This window comes from Homo sapiens, chromosome 2 (assembly GCF_000001405.40).
Source record: "Homo sapiens chromosome 2, GRCh38.p14 Primary Assembly".
Taxonomy (NCBI): domain Eukaryota; kingdom Metazoa; phylum Chordata; class Mammalia; order Primates; family Hominidae; genus Homo; species Homo sapiens.
Genome location: NC_000002.12, coordinates 19,473,371 through 19,495,465, shown reverse-complemented (window position 1 = coordinate 19,495,465; position 22,095 = coordinate 19,473,371). Strand labels below are relative to the sequence as shown.

Below are 22,095 nucleotides of genomic sequence, written 5' to 3'. Positions count from 1 at the left end.
TTAATGTCTAAGAGTCATAAAGCCTTTGATCTAAATGAAAGTTCATTTGTCAGCTACAACTCCAAAATATTATTATTATTTTTTGAGATGGAGTCTCACTCTGTCACCCAGGCTGGAGTGCAGTGGTACAATCTTGGCTCACTGCAACCTCCTCCACCTCCCGGGCTTACGCAATTCTTCTGCCTCAGCCTCCTGAGTAGCTGGGATTACAGGCGCATACTACTACGCCCGGCTAATTTTTGTATTTTTAGTAAAGATAGAGTTTCACCATGTTGGCTAGGCTGGTCTTGAACTCCTGACCTCGTGATCCGCATGTCTCGGCCTCCCAAAGTGCTGGGATTACAGGTATAAGTTCTTAATGATCATGGACTTTCTCAGATTAAGTGTGTGTGACCGAAAAGCAGGTCATTTTAATGATCTGGGCCTCAACTTTCTCATTTATAAATTGAGATTTACTAGATTTTTTCTGTGTTGTCCTCCAGCTGCAACATTACGTGGTTCTGGCATTGTGGATATTTCTGGCCCATCAGTGTAATAAGACTGCCTAGGTTTCATTCTCTGGCTCTGTTATGAAGGAGCTCTCAATTGCTCTTGTTGACCTCAGTTTCCTCATTTATAAAAATGTAGTCATAGCACCTACCTATAGAATGATTGTTAGATTAAATGGGTTAATACAGGTAAAATGCTGAGGTCAGGATCTGCATCATGGAAAACTTTACAGAAATGAAAACTATTATTACATACTATCTTCTCTTGACTTTGTTAACAACAACAATAGTACCTATCATTTACTGAGAGCTTCCCATGTTAGGCAGTTGCTATGAGCCTCACCGACATCATCTCATTTAATCCTCACCATGACCCTACAGTGGTAGGTAATATTTTTATCTCCTCTTTTGTAAATGGGGAGACTGAAGCTTAGGAAGCTCACTTCAAGCCATACAGCTAGTAAATGGCAAAGCCAGGAATAAAAGTGACCCTCTGGACTTCAGAGTAGGAATTTTCACCCATCATGCAATATTACCCGATCTAGGTAAAGGGCTGTGCTATCTCTGGGGCCAGAGATGGAGACCTGTACTTTGAATCCCTCCTCTGGGCTAGGGCCAGAAATATGATTCAGAATATAATAAGCACCAGTCTGAACGGTAGTATAGATTCACATCATTCGTAAATCCTAAATAGTTCTAAGTCATTCATCTCATAAAAGTCATCTTCCCTCCTTTAATATTAGCTTATTGATTATTTATGTGTTTCTACTGATTTTTTCCCCCAGTGATTTTCTGTCTTCTAGTTAAATTTAGCCAACTACTTAAGAACATACCATTGTGGACAAGAAAGATCATTGTAGCACTTTTTGTAATAGTGAAAACAAAAACAAAACCCAGCATATGGCCTTAAATAAATGAAAGTCTATCAGTTATGGTCTGCTGTACTATTGAAAATAAAGAAGTTACTGTATCTATACTCTTCTTAAATAAACACAAGAAAAGTTATTAACTGTGAATACCCTAAGGTAATGGGGGTCATGCGTTGCCCAGGCACATATTCTTTCAGTCTTCATCTTCAGCCTCATGCCATTCTCTTCCCCTCTCTCTGGACTTCAGTCCTACTGACCTTCCTTCAGTTCTTTAAACATGCCCTACTCCTTCCTGCCTCTGGGCCTTTGCACAGACTTGCCCCTTCTCTCTTCCCAAACTTCCTCTCGCTTTTTTCTTTTTTGCCTTGCTAATTTCTGTGAATTTCCCAATATTTGGCTCAAACTGCTCTTATTCAGGAAGGCTAGGCAGGGGCCTCTTGCTCCACACTCTCATAGCACCTGTCTAATTTTTGGTTTAACGTTTGTCAACCTGCTGGAAGGTAAGCTCCCCAAAGGGCCAGAACCTTCTTTTCTGCCATTTTCACCATTCTCTCCCCTGTGCCAAGCACAATAATTTTTATGCTCCCCAATGAAGGAAAAGCTTATAGATCTCTTAAAGGTAAATATTATTTTTTACTCCTAGAGCTGGGTATGACTAACGCGTTAGAGCTTAAGAAGATCACAGGGAGGAGTCTGAGGTCCAGGAATCTGCCTCTTTGAACAGTACTCCTATTTGGACCACACTGGCCTTGAGCAGAATGGTAAATCAGAAAAAAAATTAGACCTTAGAGTTAAGATATGATTTTAACTCCCATTCATGTATTAATTCAAAAAGTATTTTGAGAGCCAGACACTGTGCTGGGTGCTGCAGAGATAGCAAAAGAGGATTCATATTACCGTCTTCAAGAGCTTTATAGTTGGGGAGAGGCAGGTAAACAGGCAGGTGTGATGCCGTGGACATGTGCTGTGAGAAGGGATGGGGAGGGTATTCTGGGGACCCAGGGAAGGGGATCCCTAACAACACCTGGGAGGTCAGAAAGGCTTCCCAAGAAAGGGAGAATGAGACTGTGAGCCGATGGAGGAGTTCACCTGGAGAGCAACTCAGTGGGCCAGTGGAGTGCATGCGGGCATGGCTGCTGAGGTAAGTGGTGGGTACATTGCAGGGCAGGGAGTTCACCTGGGCTCCAAGACTCAAGGAGGAGGATTTGGAAGGAGGCATCTCTGAAGGAAGTGAGCCTCCTTAATGGGGGATGTTCTAGATGATTCACAAAATTCTCATATGTTTGCATGCTTCCTGTCTCTTAGCTAGATGGAAAGTGGGTGATTATGCCCACTTTCCTGCTTTCTTAAGTCTCATCCTGAAGTTTGAGCATAAAATTTTCCCCTGTGTTATTTTAATGAAATTGCAAAGATCAGAGATTAATCCAGCATGATATGTAAAGGGCTCAGCAAACACGAAAGCAATAAAGTCAAGACAGTGGGTGACAGCACAGATTTTCGTTAAGTATTAAGTTAATTTAGGGCTTTTATATGAAACCCCCCAAAGGTCCTGATAATAAATTCTCATTCTCTTTTCCATAGCCACTCCTCTTTTCCCATCCAAAACTTTTCTGGACTTCAAAGTCTCCCTGCACCCCCAGAGGAGCTCTCTGGCCCTTAGCAGGGTTGTGAGGGTAGTAACTGGCTGATTTAGGGCCCTATCCACGTCCCCTTCACAATGAGGGCCGCCTTTTAACTTGGGTCACTGTCTGCATGAAGGTGCATTTTAAAAACACTCCAAGCCAATGACTCTAGACATTTTGGTCTCTTGTTAATATAGGATAATAAATTTCCGAATTCAGCAATGACAAATAACCCTTCGTGAGTTATTAATACTTCATAAAACAAATATCCCAGCTTTTGTTTCGTTTCTGGCTTTCCCTTGCTCTCTACCCTTCTATCGTTCTTTCTCCCAATTTTTTCTTTTCTCTTCCTACATCTGTCTTTTCTCAGACTCCCTTCATAGTACTAAGTTTGGTTTTGATTGTGAAATTGTTGTTCCAAGTATATAGTTTGCTAATCTACTTTGATAACCTCTTTGAATTTCTAAGTGGGATTTTTTTTAAAGGGTTGTTTTGTTGCAACTGTGCAGCCTTGCTTTAAAGTTTTCTTTCACCATGGAGTTAAAGAGGATTTTATAATGCGTAGTTTTTTCTTAACTAAGGCCACTTTTTATCTGCTTATCTTTTTCATTCTTTATTCCTCCCCTATGCTGTCTTTCCACTTCTCTATCTCCTTTTCCGGTATGATATCTCATTTATCTAGTAGTATCCTCCCTCCCCTTCCCCTCCCTCTTCTGTTTCTCTTCAATTTCTCTTCTCTCTCTCTGGTGTTGATTTTCTCATTGAAAGCTTCAATATTACAAGAGAAAAAAAAGATTCTGATAATTCATTGGAATCTCTACCAGGTCAACTGTGGCTAGAAGCAATAAGAGTTTCTGTGAAGGTTTTGAAAATTCGTTTAATATGGTATTTTTAAAGCTTGCAGTAAAAAAGGACAAGCCAAAATTCTTAAGACACACATATACAAATTTCTCGTGCAAAGGAACAATTCCATTACATAACTAGTTTTTGTTTCATACATGTTACTTTGCTCGTACAACTCAAATTCTGTGTAAATATGGGTTCAAGAACATATGCTAAAATTGAACACCAATCTTCTCTCTTGAAACATGTTCATCCTACAAGTTATAGCACTTGCTCTTTTAAGCAGGCATCACTAGCACTTTCCTGCCACTTCTTAACTCTCTGTGTTTTATAGTCTTCCAGGGAGAAAGGAGCCTGACTGCTTAAGCACCCCTCCAGGCAGGATGGACAGCGGCTCCAAATATCTAACAGATGTCGTGCTGTACCTCAGGATGAATCTATTATTGATTCGGAACTCTTGCTCGGGTAACTTTTTGCCAGGTTTCCTTTCACACTTGTGATGAGGAAACGGATTGAACATCAGTAAGGGGACAAGACAATAACAATAAACAGACATGGTTTAGAGCAAGACAGAAATAACAAAAACAATCCCTGGCCCCCTGACAGTCGGTCTCCTTCCAGCGCCAGGTTGCAAATCACTTTGTTTCCTTCTCCCTGAGCTCACACACATTCAGATACAGGATCTGAAAACTTGCCCAATTTGAGTTCTTGTTCAGGAAATATTTGGATAAGAGAGACAGGACTAAAGAAATTCAGAGTCATCTTGGAGGAAGTTATCAAAAGAGATGGGCGTGTTAGGCCTGGAAAGTGAAAAGGACGACTTAATTCTCCATTCCTGTCTAATCAGAATCATTTGTAGCCTCAGAAGCAGATCCTGATTGCAGTGGACGCCAAAGGCATATTTTCCATGTTCAAAGCAGAATCCATCATATTCTCCCCCTCCTTCCAAGCCTGCAGTCTCTCATCCAATTTACCTAATACATCACTGTCATGTTCATTTTTCTAAAGCTCTTTCCTCTCAACTGCCTTAGATAGTTTCAGGAAGTTGGTGTGATAAAAATATATGAATTAGTTTATCTAACTGTTATGTAATGAGTGCCAGCATTAAGGCTACAGAGAGCAATAAGAAACGGTGCTGCCCAATGTAGCCGGAAGATGGTAATATAAATGGACACACAAAACAGTGACAAGTGGAGTCAAATGGAGCTATGGAGAAGAAGAGAGGGTATTAACTCAATGGAGGGAGGGGGCAAGGCTAGGGATTATCAGGGAAGGCTTCATGGAGGAGGTGACATTTGAGCTGAATTTCCAAGGCTGAATAATATTTTTCCAGGCAGACAAGGAGACTACTCACACACAGGTATGGGGGTGTGAGAAATCATGACATTTAATGCAACAGTGAGGAATTCCAGGTCAAAGCACAGGGACCACAGGGGATGTGTGTTGAGGGGGTTACCTGGTAGGCAGATAGGTAAAATTTTAAAGATGACAATCCTGATATACCATACTAAAGCCTTGGACATTCTTCTATGGGAGAGAGGATTTTATTGATGGATTTTAAGCTACGGAACCATGCAATCATATTTCTAATTAAGACTCATGTCTTGTGGGCTGGGAAGGAGACAGCAAGCCTGGTGGGGGCTGTGCTGTTTGGAGGCAGCACTGACATGGGGTACTAGGGAAAAAGTGCTGTAGTAAGAGTCCAAGGGGGAATTGATAAGGATTGGGGAGCAATTTCAATGTAAAAGGTTGAATAATGATAAATAATAAATTAATGTAGGCCACTAACTTGCTTGAAAACAAAACAAAACAAAACCTTCAGTGGTTTCTCATGACTTAACCAAATTAAGCTGAAAGTATTTAGCCTGATATTCAACACCCTTAAGAATTTGGGTCCGGTCCATCTTTCCAATTCCACTTCTCAGTGTTCCTCTGCTGGGAGAAGAAGTGGAGGAATGCTCGTTGCTTTCTCTGTGTTTTCCTGATTCCCTGTCATTTCTCAGGCTCTTCGCTCTGCAGTGACAACGCTTCCAACCCTTCTCGTCCAAAGCCTCCCAGGGGCCCACCAATCCACGCTCCTTTGTCATCTCCCTGACCGAATAGAATCTCTCCCTTCTTGGAGATTTCATAGGAACATGAGTTTATCTCCCTTATTTCACGTATTTCTTTGGTGCTTTGTATTGGCTTAATAGTTTTCTCTTTCTTCCAATGCATTTATCAACTAAGATGTAATCTTAGTACTAGGACTTTCTTATTCATATTTTTATCCCCTTGCACGTCTCACTCCTAGAACTTTGTACAAAACACTTATTTTTTTTTCAAATTTAAGATTTTTATTACAGCTGAATTTCCTCAGTTTCGTGAAGTAAAGTGGAGAATTAGAACATTTAGGCAGATAATTCAAGTCAAAGTATCTATTTGGCCATGATACCTGGCCATTGCTAAATGAAATCTCATGACAATATTAATTTAGACAAGATTCACTAATTGAGTAAAGAAAAACATATATAAAGTTTTTATACCCCCAAATATCATATTCATCAATAAATCCTGGTTATGTTTGGCACATCACAAAGAGACCAATGAATCATAAAGATATTATTGATAAGATTCTATAAGCTCATATCCTGCTATTAATTTTTTATACCAAATTCTTATTGGCTTTAATGAGAGTTCTGATTTTTTTTTCAACAGACAACCACATAAAAGAAGTTTTAAATAAATTTGTTTTCAGTTCTATAGTGAAGTATATGTAGGTTCAAGTGGAGAAAATTGCTTTGGGACATATTTATAGACCATATGTATTTATTCATCTAGGGATATTTGAGTAAAAACTCCCCTCAAAGACCACAAACATGAAACAGTACATGAGTATCTGCATCATTGCTATTTTGTTTCTCAATATGATTATTATTATATTTATATGGTATTTGTCTTTGAGTGGCAATGAGTACACTTAATTAAAAAACTTTGAAAATTGTTTCATCTCTACATGGTTCTTAACGATCAAACGTTACCACTATTTAACTGATGTGGAGCCAAAGCACAAAGAGGTGAAGCTAATTCCTGGAGAGAACTTGAGATAACCTGGGGAGTCTGTAAATATTTTAGCACGGTCTTCAAAGCTCAGTTCTATCCCACTTCCTCCCAATACCTTTGCTTGGCCATTCTGAGTCAGAGTGATCCTCCTGAGTCACTGTTGCATCAGACATGGCTCTTGTGCCACTCTCTGCTTTGTGTATGTTGGTCTTGTCTGCCCATTTAGACTTCAAGTTCCTTTAGGGACATGAAAACATATTATTAGCTCATTGATTACAATAATTTCTAAAATTACCCCTTGGAATTAAATATGTTAAGCATCTGGTTTATCCTTTCTAGAAACATCTACTCTAACATTTGTTGAGTACTTAGTATGTGCCAGGTACCAGAGGCAGAGAAAGGAATAATCCATTGCAGTACCTTCTCCAAATCTATGGGTGAGACAGGACAATTACCACAGCTGAAGTCTGGTGAGAAGGGTTCTTTTATGGAGAAAAAGACAAGGGTATCTTGGTCCACAGAGAGGGCACTGCTAACAAGCTAGCCACTTACAATCAATAGAACAGAGGCTCCGGAAAGAAAAATAACTTGCCCAGTATAATGGTTCAGTACATGGCAGTTGCAGGATTTAAACCCCAAGTATACAACTTCACAGCCCAGGTTTCCTTTTCGACATCAATTTGTTATCCCACTTGAACACCTAACTGTGTCTTACTTGTGGGTGTACTCCTCTGCACCTGTACTACAGTTGCCATACATAGGAAATAGTTGTTTTACTAAGTTAATGTGCGGAGGTCATGTAATGTTTCTTACTGCATTTCATGCCAAATTTTAAGTTAATACTAAATGGCTAACTAAAGCATTTGCATGTTTTCAAAGAGAGATTGGGGGAAGATCAGGAAAGACTATTGCTCTATTTCCCTTTTGCCATTGAAATTGAAAAAAAGAAAGAAAGAAAGAAAGAAGGCCACTGCTTAACCCACATGGATAGAAATGGGGCAGAACTGGGGTCTGGCAATGAGTGATGGGCAGAAGGCTGTTGCAAAGTGAGTGAGTGGACATTGAAAGTGCAGGGTTGGCTGCTTATACCTTCTGTCTAATTCAGCTGTTTGTATGGGTTTCAGACAGGAAAGGTTCAAGTGCAGGATGGATTTGTGATATAAACGCCCCATTCTTTATGCCCATTCTTCCATCATTAACCTTCCTACTCAGTCCTCGAAATGAAAAGCCCGGCATCTTCCATCTGCTCCACGTTATTTATGATGATGTCTCTAATTATGTCCAATTGAGTTGCTGTCGATGATTAAAGGTAATAAGTAATAATAACTTGGCCTCATCATTACCACCATTATTATTAGCTCATTGATTGCAATAATTTCTAAAATTACCCCTTGGAATAAAATATGTTAAGCACCTGGTTTATCCTTTTTAGGAACATCTGCTCTAAATGTGTGATAGCATGGGACTGAACGTGTCTTGCTCCACAAGGAAAGCAAACAGTGTTGACATTGAGAGTCTTGGTTGTGCTGGTATGGATATATTGTGAGATGAGGAGAGGAGGAAATAATGATCATGCTCAAGTTCAATGCTGGAATTATAGAGCTGTTTAAAAAAAAAAGGAAGAAAAACAAACACACGCACACAACCTGGCATATTCTGTGGCTACTGCAATCTTTGCTCTTCTTTGAAAAGATTCCCACCTTCAGTGTGGCCCTGATCTTTGCCATGGTGGTGCTTCTCCTGATCTGTATAACCAGGACATTGGGTGAGTGGTAACTGGGAGGAATAGGTAGCGAGAGAGATTATAGAGCTACATGTGGTAGGGAGGGCAGTGGTCTATAGGAAATCCGTTGAGAAGATCCACTCCCTAACACCATGTTCCTGCTTTGGTTCTGGAAATTTCACCATGGCCTTTCATTCTTTTTGGTTAAGTGGTCTTCTCAAGATTCCTCTTTGGGAGTGAGAGTCCGCCACTGGGGGTTGCACTGCATGTTTATAATGCCTTGGTATGCTTTCCTTTATAACATACTTACCTCTTTATGGGGATGGTAGCCACTGTAGAGAGACACCGCATTTTCTTAGTGGTAAAAGATACTAGGGAAACATTAGCTCTGAGAATGGTATTTAAAACAGTGGCTACCATTTTGGTCAGTGAAAATATAGAACATTTCCGTCATCACAGAAAGTGCTGTTTTAGAGAGTGCAGATAGACCTTTAGAAATATTTATTAAGTAAGGATTCGATGTGACAAACTTTTGCTGGGTGCTAAGAGCTTATTTGCCATAGGCACCCCCCAAAAATTTGAGCGACTGAATCACATATAATCTATCCCAGCTCTGAAGAACTCAGATACTTAAAAATTATAAGATACGAAAACAAGATATAAGGCCTGACACGGTGGCTCATGCCTGTCATTCCAGCACTTTGGGAGGCCAAAATGGGCCTTTGGGGGCTCCTAGACCCTTTGCCATGGTACCTCTGATTTCTCAGGGACTTTGCATATACACCTTCTGATTGAATTCACTGAGCACAGCTGCAGTGAGCCACATTCAAGCTGCTGTACTCCAGCCTGGGTGACAGAGTGTGACCTTGTCTCAAAGCCACAGCAACCACCAGGATCTATGTCTGTATATTATCAATATATAAAATAAATGAATATTTAAAAATGAATTACTCCTTATTTGTTGTCTCATTTACTACTCATAATAATTCTGAAAGAGTGGATTATGCCTATTTTATAAATGAATAAATAGGCCCTGTGAGGCTAGATAACTTAGCCAAGGCCACAGAGACTATCTAGCATGCCATGTAAGTGGTAGACCCTGTCTGGCCTTTAGAATCCTATTTCAATGCCTTTTTCCAAAATATCCTACATACATGCACAGGTGGATATAAATGTATTTACTCTTTCTATGGAGAATATTATGCTCCAAATGGACTCAATTGTATCATAATCAGACTAAATGCAAATTATATCTGGGAAATAAAAATAAAAATCTGTGGTGTAAAAACCTTTGAATTATTTTTTAGATCTCTTACACTAGGTCAAAAAATGCAAAACATTTTTAAAATTGATATTAATGGTGACTTATAAATATTCAATGAGATGAACACAAAATAGATTTTCTAATTTTCTAATTTTGTCACATTATGAAATCACAGTGGTGGAAGTTTAATTTCCTTTCTAACTTGAAATCTTCACTTCTTCTCTCTGCTTTGACCAGGTCATTAGTTACCTACAGTCAAGTATGGATTTGGACTGCTCTGCCTAGGTCAGGGTGGCTCCCAGACCCCTTGCCATTGTACCTCTGGTTTTTCAGAAACTTTTCATATAAACCTTCTGATTGAATTCACAGAAACTAAGGAATATATATGTCACTGGTATATAAGTACTTGTGGAACTTCTATGTGGCTCCAGGGGTATGATTTGGCCTTGGCATCCACTCCCTTTAATACTTTCAAGGTCCCTGAAGAATGTCATATTTCAGGAAAGAGTTCTAGTCACATTGTATCATTAACTTTATGGAGTGTTGTGGAATAACAGTTTGATTCTGATAGAATAAAGGTGCAAATCCACATGCATAATTTAAAATAAAAATCCCTTCTCTGGTACCATATAAATACATGCCAGGTGTGAAAGGAGAACTGAAACAGTCTCTGAGGATGCTATCGCAAAGGAGGCCAAGCTTTCTCCATCAGCTACTTTCAGCCCCTGGGGAACTCATGTGAGTAGCTTCCACCATCATATCTGATGTTACTCCTAGAAACTTTCCAGGGATCCCTTTTACTCTCCCTACCCTCTCTTTCTCTGCCATAAATATAAATCAAGAGTGAATTTCTGGAGGTTCAACCTGGAATACCTTGCTTCCTTTATTGGGCTGTGAACCAGAAAGAATGAGGTAAGATACTTACAAAAGTTATTTGTTAGCTTCTAGACTACATTGGTGTAAGGGCATCATTTTTTTATTTGCAGAAGAGTTTAAGCTTCAGCTAAATAGCCAAATGCTGAGAAACTCACCCCCACAAAAAAAACTGTTAGAAATAAAAAACAAATTGAGTAAAGTTGCAGGATATAAAATCAACATACAAAAACAGTGTGTTTCTGTCCACTAACAAAAAAAATCCAAAAAGGACATTAAAAAACAAATCTCATTTAAAATAGCATCAAAAAAGCCTTAGATATAAATTTAACCAAGGGGTGAAAGATCTGTACACTGAAAACTATAAAGCACCAATAAAACAAATTAGAGACAAATAAATGAAAATATATCCCATGTTCATAAATTAGAAGAAATAATATTGTTAAAATGTCCATACTACCAAAAGATGTCTAATGATTCAATGCAATCTCTATCAAAATTCCAATGGCATTTTTTTCACAGATATAAAAAACAATCCACAAATTTATATAGAACCACACACACACACAAACAGAACAGCCAAAGCAATCCTAAGTAAGAAGGACAAAACTTAGAGGCATCACACTTTCTGATTTCAAATTATATTATAAAGCTATAGTAGTCAAGCCAGTATGGTACTGACGTAGAAATAGACACATAAACCAATGGAACAGAATAGAAGGTCCAGAAATAAACCCACACGTATATGATCAACTAATTTTTGACCAGGGCATCAAGAATGCACAAGGAGAAAAAATAGTCTCTTCAATAAATGGTGTTGGGAAAATTGGTTATCCACAGGAAAACAAATGAAATTGCACCCTGTTTTACACCATACGCAAAAATCAACTCAATATTGATTAAAGACTTAAACATAAAATCTGAAACCATAAAACTCCCAGAAGAAAACATGGGGAAAAAGTCTCTTGACATTGGTTCTGGCAATAATGTTTTGAATATGACACCAAATGCACAGACAACAGAAGCAAAAAATAAACAAGTAGGATTACATCAAATTAAACAGCTTCTTCACAGCAAAGGAAGCAATCCACAAAATGAAAAATCAATCTGTGGAATGGGAGAAAATATTTGCAAACCATACACCTGATAAAGGGTCAATAACTAAAGTATACAATGAATTTCTATAACTAAAGGGCAAAAATAAAATAATTCAATTAAAAATAGGGAAAGAACCTGAATAGACATTTCTCCAAAGAAGACATGACCAACAGGTGTATGAAAAGGGGCTCAACATTACTAATCATTAGGGACATGCATATCAAAACCACAATGAGTTATCACCTCACACCTTTAGTATGGCTATTATATAATAGCCATTTTCCATGTTCTCACCAGCACTTGTATATATATATACAATTGTATATATACAATATAGTATATTGTATATATACAATATATATACAATTGTATATACAATATTGTATATTGTATATATACTATATATACAATTGTATATATATTATTGTATATATATGGTGTGTATATATATACAATCGTATATATATTGTGTGTATATATGTACAATCGTATATATATTTTGTGTATATATATACAATCGTATATATAGTATATATGTATACATATATACACATATAAACATATGTGTATATACGTATGTACACATAGATATGTATATACACATATATACATATATGTATGTATATGTATATATGTATATATACATATACATATATGTATATATACATATACATACATGTATATATACGTATACATATACATGTATACATATGTATATATGTATACATGTGTATATGTATACATGTGTGCATATGTATAAGTGTGTGTACATATGTGTATATGTATATGTGTGTATACATATATGTGTGTATGCATATATGTATACATATATACTATATATACAATTGTATATATACACAGACAATATATATACAATACACAAATATACATATATGTATACTATATATACAATTGTATATATAGTATATATAGTATATGTATATATAGTATATATACACAATTGTATATATATACTATATATACAATAGTGTATATATACAATATATATACAATACACAAATATATATATTATATATACACACACACACGCACAAGTGCTGGTGAGAATGTGGAAAAAGGGGAATCCTTGCACATTATTGATGGGAATGTAAATTTTTATAGCCGTCACGGAAAACAGTATGGAGGTTCCTTGAAAACTAAAACTACCATATGATTCAGCAATCTCACTTCTGAATATAGATCCAAAGAATTGAAATTAGGATCTTGAAGAGGTATCTATGCTTCCGTGTTCATTGCAGTATTATTCACAATAGCCAAGATATAGAAACACGTAAGTGTCCTGTGGTGGATGAATGGATAAACAATTGTGAGAGAGAGATATATATATAACTCATATATATATATATATATATATATATATATATATATGACACACACATATGGCACACATGTGACATATGACATGACACACACGACATATGACACACATATGACATATATATGACATATATATATCACACACACACACACACACACACACACACAATGGAATATCATTCGCCCTTAAAAAGGAAATCCTGCCATTTACAATAACATGGATGACCTAGAGGGTGTTATCATAAGTGAAGTAAGCCAGTCACAGACAAATGCTGTATGACCTCATTTACATGTGGAATCTAAAACAGTCAAACTCATAGAAGCAGAGAGTAGAATGGTGGTTGCTAGGGGATGGGTAGGGAGAAAGGAGGAGGTGTTGGTTAAAGGGTACAAACTTTCAGTAATGCAAGATGAATAACTTCTGGAGATCTATACAGCATATATAATATTGTAGACTTAACATTTGCTAAGATAATAGATCTTACCATAAAAATAAGTAAATTAATTAAATGACAGCAACAACAATAATAATAAATGGGATGGAAGGAAACTTTGGGAGGTGATGGATATGTTGATGGCCTTGACAGTGGTAATAGATTCATGGATGTATACATATCCACAAACTCATCAAAATATATATATTAAATATGTACAGTATAGGTCAATAATACCTTAATAAAGCATTTTAAAAAAATACTTACTGTTAAGAAGGAGATCTCTGAACTACTATCTAAAACAATGGATGTGTAATTTAACCAACTTGGAACTGTGTAAATGTATCAGAAAGCATTTATTCCAACATTCATTTCCTTCTGTCCTCTGAAAGGCCTCTTTGTCTTTGACCTGCTGCCATTTATTTTAGCAGCATGCAAAGGTGGTTCACTGCATACTTGGATCTATCCTCAAGAAAGATGATGGACAAAGTTCTCTTCAGCTCCTCCAAACACCCCTTTCTGAACCCTTCTTTCCTCTTTTAAGGTCTCAACCTTTTTTTTTTTTAACCTTACTGTTTTCTGCTTCTTGAAGTCACCCGTGTCACAGAGTCAAAGAATATAATGACTTCTCGTAGAGGAGAGTTAGGGACTTCAGCATTTACCGGGGAACATCAGCATTTACAGGAGGAAATCAGAGAGGGAAAGGTTGTGTTCAAAGGAATGAATGAAGTCAGGGTTTCATGCATTGTAGATCATGCATTTGAGAAAAGCTAGGGGTGAAGATCTTCACCAATATTGGAAATCTCTTATGAGCTTGGTTATTATTTTCTACACCCTTGCTTGGCTGAGAGAGGAGTGAGGAAACTTCTGTGGGGCCTGAGCATCAGTCAAGAGGACCTAGATGAAAAGCCTGGAGCGGGGGAGGCCCACGGACACAGAGCACTTGGAAGAAGAAGGGAACATGTGGCCCACTGGTGATCTGTGTTTACTCGTCTGTCTGGTGTGTTCCGAGAGGAGGATGCAAGCCAGCCAGAGGTCAGCAAGTCAAAACCCTTTGAAGACAGACCCAGCTTCTGAAATGGATCTGGCGTTCCCTTGCTGGCTCAGTATCCCACAGTAGTTCACACACTTCCCAGCCATCACCTTTTGTGTGTGAATTGTCTACAAATTTCATTGATAGAAACACAAATGTGCAAAACTGTGACATCTTTATTTTTCTGGTACTAAACCATCACTCTCTGGTGCTCCATTTTCCCTAACAAGAACTTTCATATTATTTCTGAGCAGGCTTACATTTAAACCCAATTAGTGTTTTTTCCCCCACTCTTCGTCATCCCAGAGTATCATCTAAATATTTTTGGGGTATGCACATTAGGGCAGGAGTTGTCATAGCTATCCTTGCCCTTTGTTGTCCCCCATGGGGTGTACCTAATTCACATCACCACTGACCTCTGTCTCTCCTGCTGGTGTCCACGGTCCATCAAGGTCTCAGGTTTGTCCCCACTGTGCTGTTGCTGCTGATAGTGGCCTCTTGTCAGGCATCTTCTGATCCAGGACCTTCAAGAACATAAGAAATGTTTGGATGCCCTCTCACAATCCCTTTCTTCTTAGATATTCCAATTTCCTCTTCCAGTTCATTGCACTGAGGGGCAGGGCACATCTGAGAGGCTCTAAACTCAGCCTACTCAACAGGAGGCGGAATGCAGTGCTGTCTTCCAAGAATTCCCACTCCCCATCCCAAACCTGACTACCGTTTAGATCACCTTCTCTAGGGCTGGGCCTAGCTCTACAAGAGAGGAAGATGGGAGCAGAGTCCCTTCTCTGAGACCTACACAGTGACTACTAAATATTGCCCCCTTTTCCATCTCAACTCTCTTCTTTCTCCAGCAGATTGAATTTATGTAGTTTTTTGAGAGAAATCTGCCTTCTTCCTAACACTACTATTTATGGTATAAGATTTATCTTCATATTCCATCTGAGTTGACTCAGAAAAACCTTTTCTCTATCATAAAAACTTGGCTCTCACAATGAAAGCCTTGGCGCTCAAGATTATGCTCTGCTTTGAGTTTCTGGAGAATATTTTAGAAATAAGTCAAGATTTGATTCTTATATTTTCTGCATTTTCTCCTTCCCAAAGCAATAAAAATACCTAGTTTTTTGTTGTGGTTGTTGGGTTTTTGTTTTTTTTTTTTAATTGAAACTGAGTCTCACTCTATTGCCCAGGCTGGTGTACAGTGACGTGATCTCAGCTCACTGCAACCTCTGCCTCCCTGGTTCAAGCGATTCTTGTGCCTCAGCCTCCCGAGTAGCTAGGATTACAGGCGCCCACCACCACACCAGGCTAATTTTTGTATTTTTAGTAGAGATGGGGTTTCACCGTGTTGGCCAGGCTGGTCTCAAACTCCTGACCTCAAGTGATCCGCCCACCTTGGCCTCCCAAAGTGCGGGATTACAGATGTGAGCCACTGTTCCCAGCCAAAATATCTAGGTTTTTAGGTAATGGTTCCATGAAGAAGCATAGAATTAGTAATAATGCACTGATTACTGCTTCAGAAAACCACCTCGATACACTAGAATTGCCACAATTTACCTTGCCCACTTTAGCGAAGATCAGATTCTCATGAGAATCAGGGGAAGGAAGGTAGAGTCCACTAGGGGTAGCAAGGAGACCAAAAGGGGAAAATTCCAAAAAATGGAAAGTGAGTAGACATCAAAATTTTCTTTATGTTTACCATTAAGAATGCTTTCAAAAGGCATCATAAAAATATGGGAGGCAAACTAAAAAAAAAAAAAAAATGTGTTAGTTTCAGCTCTACCATTTCATAGCCATATAACATTTGATAAGACAATCTTACTAGTTTCTTCATCTGTGCAGTGGATATAATAATATTTGCCTGGCTTGTTTACTTTAGAGATATGTATCTACATGGAAATCTGAGTAGATGTTATATTTAATAAGCTTTGTCCTCTATAGAGAAGAAATAACTGTGCCTAACAATAATTGTATGAAACATGATAATTAAGAAAGACCTATGTTCCTTAAATGACAAGTGGTCTTACTTTCTATTTTAAAAGATAGGCATCTTTCCAAACTTAATAGATCTTTTTCTGTCTCTTCCTTTTTTCCCCCAGGAATAATTTAGGCAGTGACTACTACAATTGCATTTATCTTCAAGTCTGACCTAGAACTTAAGTCTGTAGCTGAACTTTTGTGTAACTTATTAGTCATTGAGCATTGCAGAAGATCGAGTACTTGGTAAATGAGATGTACATGCATTATGGTTTGAAAATTTATCCCCTCCAAAACTCATGTTAAAATTTAATCCACAATGAGGCAGTATTCAGAGGTGGGGCCTTTATGAAGTGATTGAGTCATGAAGGCTCTGCCCTCCTGGATGGATTAATCCATTGATGGGCTAATGCATTAATGTGTGAATGGATTGATGGGTAATCATGAGAATGAAACTGGTGGCTTTATAAGAAGAGGAAGAGAGACCTGAGCTAGCACAGTCAGCCTCCTTGCCATGTGATGCCCTATGCCACCTTGGGACTCTGAAGAGGGTCCCCACCAGCAAGGAGGCTCTCACGAGATATAGCCCCTCAGTCATGGACATCTCAGCCTCCCTGATTGTAAGAAATCCATTTTCATTTCTACCCAGTCTTAGGTATTCAGTTATAAGCAACAGAAAATAGACTAAGACAGTGTAGCAGTGGACTGTGGATAGTAAAAATCAAAGGATGATAATGTGGCCCCTGTTCTTGAAAAATTCCAAGTCCTACTGAGAAGACATTTGTTTAATCATTATTTATTATTTCAATAAATATTTATCAAGCCTCCCCATGTTCCAGGTATTGTTCTAGGTGCTAAGATTACAGCAGAGAACAAACGTTTTTTAAATGAAGCTTTCATTTTTGTGAGACTTTAATCAAATGTACAAAACAAGAGTAAGTTTTTGAAACATAAGTCATTACTAAATCATGTGATACAGAGGATTAGTGATGTTCGAAGGCAAAGGAGAAAAGATGAATGTGAGGGTGTTGGTTGAAAAATGCAACTTTCAATAAATTACATCTTAAGCTGGATCTGAAGTTTAGAAGAAATCTTTCAAATGAAAGGAAGAAATACAAGGAAAAGACTCTAGAGTAAGCATGATTTATTTGTAGACATAGAGGAAATTTGCTTGACTTAAACAACAGGTATATTTTGGAGAATTGGTGAATCCAACTGGAGAAGTACTGTGAAAAACTATGACAACTAAACTGAGAAATTTAGTTTCAATGGAATTGGGAGTAAAGGGCCATGGAAAGTTCTGGGTGGAGTGGTGGTCAAATATTGGTGATATAAGGGTGTGTAATGTAATGAGCATTGTCTTTAGATAATATGGATTTGGTGCACTCAAAATTCAGGCCACAGGGAGAATTACACATGAATTTTTATTTTCAAAGGCCCACACACTCTGAAGATTGTAAATTACCTGGAAAATTGATTATTTGTATAATCTTGACAAGTCTGCATAAAAAATAATTTCCCCTGAAATCCAGATTACTAACTTAATAAAAAGAATATGTTTGTCTTAGTTTCTAAGCTATGTAGTTACATAGAGCTGTGTACATTCACCTTCATGACATTTACATGTGGGATAATGGATGTGGATTTAATGCAATGATTAATGATTTGTTCACTTGGAGTTACCAAGTCATGTTTCTATTGAAGGTGGGGGACTAAAAATAGGAGTTTAGATTTTTTAGGAACAATCTCATCACACACAGAGAGAAAGGGGTTGGAGAATCAATTTAGGAACACTTTTCTTTTTCTTGATCCAGTGACCAAAGGCAGATTGGCAAGTGGGCATTATTTTTCAGAGATGCTTAAGAACTTATTATTGAAAAGATAACCAGCCCTCTATTGAGAAGTCAGACCATAGCAGCCATGTGTTTTATAAGCCTTTGCTTTGTTTCAAGGTGGAGTGTTCCTCACACCATTAAATTTGGAGTTGGTTAGGGATAATGTGGTTCAGGTTTTCCCATAATTGTATGGGAATTCCCTGGGTGAAATGTATGGGTCTGGGAAAGATCAGATCTGACTATGCTCAATAACTTCTGACTTTCAATTCATCAGAATGCCCAGTGGTCTCTCCTCATATATCTCCTCATCAAGCTTTAAGTTGGTAAAGTTTTTCATAGATAAAACGGTGCTTCTCACCGTGGGCTGCCAATGAAATCCAAAAGGAATAGAATGTGTGTTTGGTCAATGGAATTGGCAAACAGAGCAGGCTTCTGGGGCATCTGGACATTGTTCATACTGAAACCTCTTATTTGTTCATTTAGAAATGAACAATCAGGAAAGCTTCTACATTTGGAGGATGTTTGCAAAATGTGTTCTCTCAGGTTGAATTTGGCTACAGTCCCATGTGAAGCAGTTGCACTTTTTACTCAACAGATTTTGGATAAACCAGGGAAGCTTGGCTCCTCATATGGTCTGATCTTTGTTGCATTGCCCATTTTTGCAGATTCTGACATCTGGAATGTAAATTAGAACTACATATTTAATATTTCTGTTTAATGTTTATTATTGGGCTCCCCTGAAGATTGTTATTTGGAATTGGCTACCAAGGGCCTGTTATTCTAATTGACAGAGCTCTCATCCAGCTTACTAGTTATTCCTTTCTCTCCCTCAGTACACTAAGAAAGAGGTGGTGAGCTTTTTCAATTTTCACTGAAAAGAGTAAGTGAGCAGAGATCTGTAAGTTGACTTTTTTGCCTGGCAGTTGATAAATGTTCACTGAATGAATAATTCTAGAGTCTTCTAGGACATTTCTGTGTAGAAACTTCTTATTTACATTCTAGAAACTTTGGAGAACCAATGTTGGTTCTGCTAAACAGTATTCTGGTCCTCAATGCCTAGATTCACCAATTTAGACCCCAGACACACCAAGTTATGCACCTTGCTTTACTAAATTCTATAAAGCTTAGTCAATGAATACTAGACAGACATATGGCTATTGGGAATGCAGTTATATGGAGCTGTGTACATTGACCTTCATGACATTTACATATGGGATAATGGATGTGGATTTAATGCAATAGTTCATGGTTTGTTAACTTGGAGTTATGAACTCATGTTTCCATTGAACGTTGGGGACTAAAATAGGAGTTTCTAAGAAATAACTTCTACTCTTGAGTGGCTATATTAGTTTGTTAGGGCTGCCATGCAAAATAGCACAGACTGGGAGGCTTAAACAACAGAAATTTATTGTCTCACAGTTCTGGAGGCTGGAAGTCCAAGACCAAGGCGTTGGCAGTATTGGTTTCTTCTGAGGTCTCTCTCCTCAGCTTGAATATGGCCACCTTCTCACTGCGTCTTCACATGGTCTTTCCTCTGTGAACGACCTCTCTGGTATCTCTGTGTCTTAATCTTCTCTTCCTATAAGTACATCACTCAGATTGGATTGGGATCCACCCTAAGGACCTCATTTACCTAAATTACCTTTTAAAGACTCTATCTCCAAATACAGTCACATTCTGAGGTACTAGGGGTTGGGGCTTCAACATATGAATTTGGGGGTAGGGGCACAATTAAGCCTATAACAGTATTTCCAGTAGTAGAGGGGAAGCGATACATCTAATGACTATTATAGAAGCATGGAATCAGCCAAACATAATGAGCAAAGTCCCATGGGGATTGAGAAACCAGAGTGCTCCAGTCTATTTGGAAGAAGCTTTATGGATGAGATGGTTCTGAGATGGACATTGAAGAAGAGATTTAAAAGAACAAACTATTAAATTGAATTATGTGAAATTTCAGTTGTTTAGATCAAATATAAGCAATTTCATATGGTATAACATATTTATTTTTGTACTCATAGTATAGGGCAAATGCTGGCAATTTTCTTATCTATAATATTAAGAACCGGATGGTAAATATTTTAGGCTTTGAGGGCTATGTGGTCTCCTTCACAACTACTCGACTCTACTGTTATAGTGTGAAAATATCTATGGATGATACATAAATAAATGTATGATGTATTCCAATAATACTTTATTTACAAAACCAGACAGCAGAAGTAACTAGTTAGTAAAAGAGTCAGGACAACTTAGGCCCCCTGACTCACAGACTAATGTCCTTTCCTTTATGCCACACTAATTTTATTTCCTAGGAACTAGTAAGTTTCCAAGTGAATATTGGAACTTTTTTTTTTCAATTCATAAAAGCCCATTTGGGAAAATAAAAACTTCTAAAACTGCCAAGAAAAAAGACAGCGGGCTGAATTTGCCTTCTGGGCCATAATTTGCTTACTCTTGTGTAGGGAAACTTTAAATTCCCTAACTTTTCTATTTGCTGAAACATGTCTTCCCTGATCCTTTCACACCCCTGTGCCGATCACGGAGTTACTCTTCTGTGACATGTCTATCCCTTGTTCATTCCGAAGTAGAGCCTTTCAACATGCAGAGACTGCAAAGAGCAGAAAATGCCTTGGCCCCAACTCAATGTTGTCATGTGGTAACAGACCACAAACCTAAGCCACTTCCGCCTTGTTGTTGAACTCTTGGCACATGTGTGTTGCGTTTCTATTTTATTGGCTCTTTAGTGGAACTGCAAAAAGATTTGTGGCCTCCTTTCATCTAGCGAGAGAAAACAAGCAACCACTTCTCTTTTCACAACCTAAAATCCTCCTTGGTATCCGTATTGCAGAAGGGACCTTTTCACAGTGTCAGATCTTTCCAGATAACTGAGAATTTCCGTAAATAAAAACAAATAATTCATTGTGGCTATAAGATTTATAAAATGTACATAAATCTCCCTGTCTTTATAGAAAGAGGAAACTGATTATAACGCAACCTTATTGGGAAGACTCTGCGGTATCACTGGGGACTCCTCGCTTACTAGTTCTTTACAATCATTTATAGTGTGGCTGCTCCATGCCTTTCTGGGACCTGGGGTAGAATAGTGACCAAGCTAGGCAAGATTCCTCTTTTCATGGAGGTTTCATTCAAAGGGGAGAAGCAGGAAATAAATAAGCAGAAAAGCATATAAATCAAATAAATTCAAGTGGTAATTATTTGTAAAGAAAATAGAGCATTTGTAAAGAAAATGCAGATTGAGAGTGGCTATTTAAGAAAGAGTGAAGGGATGGAGAACAGAGAAGGGGCTGGCCGTATGAAGTGTTGCCTTGGAGTTTCACAGGCAGAGGCAAGGGCAATGCAGAGGCACTGAACTGAGAACAGGCTTGGTGCGTCGCGGATCAGCAAGGCCATTGCGGCTGGAATGGATGAACTGAAGGGATGGAAGTAGAGGGCAAGGTGGAAAAATCTGCTCTGAGACAGTGAGGCCCCAGGACACACTGAGCAGTTAAGGCTCTGTCCCAGACCAAAATAGCCTCAGACAGCTGCGTTTCTTAAAGTCCCTGTGTCCTTTTAACATGTTTTCCTTGCCTTTTCTACCAAGTTAGCTTAGGCCACTCTGTTAATTTTCTGCTTTAATCTCTGGGATGAGAAACTAGATA

At 38.2% G+C, this 22,095-nt stretch overlaps 1 long non-coding RNA gene across 5 annotated transcripts in view, besides 1 other annotated feature; it reads right to left on the bottom strand.

The window, feature by feature from the left end:
• Positions 1-22,095, bottom strand: part of LINC01808 (long intergenic non-protein coding RNA 1808) — a 52,275-nt gene that overhangs the window by 25,738 nt on the left and 4,442 nt on the right. For 2 of the 5 annotated variants that reach the window (NR_183418.1, NR_183420.1), the window contains exons 2-5: positions 19,854-20,015; positions 16,182-16,242; positions 15,041-15,148; positions 6,977-7,098 (exon numbers count right to left, since the gene is read on the bottom strand). This is a non-coding gene — a long non-coding RNA (long intergenic non-protein coding RNA 1808). Of the gene's footprint in view, positions 1-6,609; positions 7,099-15,040; positions 15,149-16,181; positions 16,243-16,323; positions 16,370-19,853; positions 20,016-22,095 lie in introns of those variants that run through there. The other 3 variants (NR_183419.1, NR_183422.1, NR_183421.1) reach the window with 2 other exon arrangements.
• Positions 6,629-7,828: an enhancer, noted in NCBI's record as "MED14-independent group 3 enhancer chr2:19687399-19688598 (GRCh37/hg19 assembly coordinates)". NCBI's record gives its function as "activates an origin of replication core promoter dependent on BRD2, BRD4, P300/CBP and CDK7 cofactors, and independent of MED14, by STARR-seq in HCT116 cells {active_cell/tissue: HCT116}" and the evidence as "EXISTENCE:reporter gene assay evidence [ECO:0000049][PMID:35650434]".